Source organism: Homo sapiens, chromosome 3 (assembly GCF_000001405.40).
Source record: "Homo sapiens chromosome 3, GRCh38.p14 Primary Assembly".
In the NCBI taxonomy this organism is placed as follows: domain Eukaryota; kingdom Metazoa; phylum Chordata; class Mammalia; order Primates; family Hominidae; genus Homo; species Homo sapiens.
In genome coordinates, this window is record NC_000003.12 from 31,497,492 (window position 1) to 31,501,437 (window position 3,946).

A 3,946-nucleotide genomic window follows, 5' to 3' on the forward strand; every position below is an offset into this window, starting at 1 on the left:
CACAAAAAGTCAAAAAGGAAAGACTACCAGCCAGGTGTGGGGGCTCTCGCCTGTAATCCCAACACTTTGGGAGGCTGAAGTGGGTGGGTCACTTGAAGCCAGGAGTTCAAGACCAGCCTGGCCAACATGGTGAAACTCTATCTCCACTGAAATACGAAAATTAGCTGCGTGTGGTGGTGCATGCCTGTAATTCCAGCTACTTGGGAGGCTGAGGCATGAGAATTGCTTGTACCTGGGAGGCAAAGCTGGCAGTGAGACGAAATCACACCACCACACTCCAGCCTGGGTGAGAGAGTGGGATGCTGTCTCAAAAGAAAAGAAAAGAAAATACTACCAATGCAGTTTCTCATATCACACAATGGAACAAACATTAAAAATACGTTGTCCATTTTTAATAGCTGTATTAGGGTTGTAACTGATATACAGAAGAAAAAACCCTGTGCACATGTTTAATTAATACATTTTGAGTTTGGACAGGTGCAAACATCTATGATACCATCATCTTAATCAAGATATTAAACATATCCATCATCTTTAAAAGTTAAAAGAAAACACCAAAATATGCAAACATTCTGTAATCCAATTGAAGGTGAACAGTAGCAAGTTTGGTAACTGGGGAGAAAAATAAGGAATGCTTTAAGCAAGTTTTCCCCATCATTCTGAAAGGGAATGACCACCATTTTCAGCTTGTCACTGAGAAATAATGAAGATTTTGGACAGCTTTCTATTTCTTCTTGGACCTTATTTTCATAATGTAAATAGATTTGTTATTTGATTCGAAATATTGTAGTTTTCCTCAGTGTAAAACAAACCCGTAATTTAATAGAAGTCTCAAAATTCATTTAAAGCCTAATAGACACTATTTATGAAAGTGTGTTGTTAGATTTTTATTTCCTTCAAATGTCAAAGAACTGAAGTTGCCGGGCACAGTGGCTCACGCCTGTAATCCCAGCACTTTGGGAAGCCAAGGGGTGGGGGTGGGGGGTGGATCACCTGAGGTCAGGAGTTCGAGACCAGCCTGACCAACATGGAGAAACCCCATATCTACTAAAAATACAAAATTAGTCCGGCATGGTGGCACATGCCTGTAATCCCAGCTACTCGGAAGGCTGAGGCAGAAGAATCACTTGAACCCGGGAGGCAGAGGTTGCAGTGAGCCGAGATTGCGCCACTGCACTCCAGCCTGGGCAACAAGAGCAAAACTCCATCTCAAAAAAAAAAAAAAAAAAAAAAAAGAAGAACTGAAATGTGGTCAGTGTACCTCAATTTGTAAAAGTAATAAAGATAGCATTTTTGAGATTCTTTTTCCCCAGTAGATCATTTTTTTCCTACACCTTTTTCTCTCCAAGAAGCATGGCAGTTCTAAGCTTGTTACTTCAGAAAAGGGACAAGCCTTGATGGAAATCTGAAACAACGTTTTCTGGCTTGGGTTTCCAAAATCCTTGGCCACGCTGAGGGATGAGGAGATGACAGATGGAGACCATCTTCAGCACAGGCAGAAATATGGTAGAGAAATTCCAGGGCTGAGAATAAGGGAGGAGTCGGGGAAGGCCGTTGTGTAGCCTGGGGTTTCCCTCACAGTTAGAAGATTCGTCTTGGCTGGATAAGAGGGAGAAATCTAGGAGACAAATTAAGTATTTATAAAACAGTTCTGTAAAGTGTGGCCTGTAGGCTTTTTCCTGGTAAGAGCCCCCAGGAGACAGCAAAACCTCAGATAGATTTGTCGGGTCAAGGGATGGGTCCCTGATCTCTGCTTTTCATGTGGATGGAACTGTCTAGGAATGTGGCACAGACTACACAATGACCATGCTCCATGCAGAAACCCAGGGAGAGTCATAAGCAGCTAGGCAGGCAGAACTTTGGTCATCCCTGGCCCTAGTGAGCTCACTATCGCACAGAAGCAGTTGGATGATTCTCATGCTCCAAAATACGATTCCTAAAGCAAGCCATTGACGTAACATCTCAGAGGTTATTTGCATGGATTGACTCCTGGGACAAAAGGACCAAAAACACTCTTCTGTGGATATCTGTGCAGATAGATGACCCAAAGATCAGATGCTACCCAGATGTGTTTTGATAATACATAAGCCCCTAGGATTTAGATACAATCTTGAAAGAAACTGAGACAGATAATTCTGAATTAAATGAGGTAAAGTTTCAGGCACTCAGCTGATTGGAGGCTCAAAATAGAATTAAGTTGCATTATAGAAAAATAAAGTTAAATTTCAAACACTTGAATTTCTAAACTGAGATAGGCATCCACTAAGTAAATATGTAGGAAAACACAAGAAACAATTTCAGCAGACCCCCTAAAAGGCCATTCAATGCCATTCAGTATTATGAGAGGTTTTTAAGATTTTTCAGCAAGTATTCCCTTTTTCTTGCCCACCTCTTTTGGAGCTAGTATATTTCTCCTGCCTCATTGATGTGGGACATGAATAATGGAATGTTGGAGGACATGACGCAAATAGAGGCAGAGGCATTTAAAAATATTGTTGCCCATTTTGGCTTGATCTATTATGCTTTTGGTCTTCATAATGAAAAGAACATGCCCCAGATACCACTTGTTCATGACTGAGGAGATGCACAAAGCAGACCAGAATTCAACACATAACACAAAGCAGAATCATTCCTCCTGACCCCCAGTCCATGAATAAGAAATAAATGTTTGTCATTATAAGCTGAGACTTTGGGTTGTTGTTATAGATCTTATTACAGTAATAACTGGCTAATACCTATGAAAAACTGTAGCACTAGGAGATCAGCAGCTGCTCTAATGATGCAACCAAATCTTGAGTGCTTATGTGCTCCGAAGTATGTGTTCCCTGATTCCTTCTTTAACATTCTGCCATTATGTTTGGAGTGCGTATCGATGGTATTCTCTACCCAGAATTTCTCTCCCTTCTTTGGTGGAAGTGTACTCTCTTTCTCTTGGAAATCTGTTCTTTGTCTCCCTTGCAAACCGTGTAGTTCTACTGAAGACTGACAATCATAGTACACAGTGAGCACACTGATTAGTCCAGTGTTGGTTAGGTGATCTAAGCAGGACCAATTAGAGCCTTCCCTAGGATTTTTTTAGCGTTGGAGCTGCAGGGGACCATGCCCCCTCTCTTTTCATGCACAATGCCTGTTGACAATAAGAGAGAATGAAGCAAACATGGGGGAAGCATGGGTATAAGACAAAGACAGAAATTTCTAATTTCTGGGTGGGTTTTATTCCTGCTTCTCATCCTACCTAACCACATACCTAATCTTCCTGGTTATATTAGCCAAAAAATTCTTTTTGTTTTGTTTTGTTTTGTCCAAGCAAATTCAAATTGGGTTTTTGTTCCTTAAAACCAAGAATGTTGACAAAATTTTTTTGCTTTTGCTTCTACTGCTGCAGTCATTGTCAACTCTCTTCATATTCCCATCACAGCTTCCACACTTAGGGCCATCCCTTGGTTTCCTCTCTGCTTTCATGCGTCTTTCTCTTGCTGTCATGTATGATCCAACATCCATGTTGGAGTCCTTCATACTCCAACACCCCAAGAGAAATTAGTCACGAACCAGGATAGATTCAGACCACCTCAAAGACTGCTGATGTTTGGCTATCATTGAACCTGGAATTCGTTGCTATTCCAATCAGACATGGTTTGGGTGGAGAGGGCAGTGTGGTACAAATCACAGTGTCTCATGACTAAAGGACTCTGCAGAGAGGGATTATGGGCTTGGCAGGCACTCTGGGGCTCCTCAGAAAGGAACAGCAAAACAAGCCTGTTCTTTTTTGGTCTGTCCTCTTCAAATTGCTGCTCTTGTTGATCCACATTATTGCTCCCTGTCCAACTGTATGTACAGTGAAGGGTTGGCTGGAAATGAAAGCAGAAACAGGTTTCTATTAGAGGATAATATGGAATGGGAAGATTTTTTTAAAAAAAAAATAGGTCTGTGAGTTCCAACAATGCAA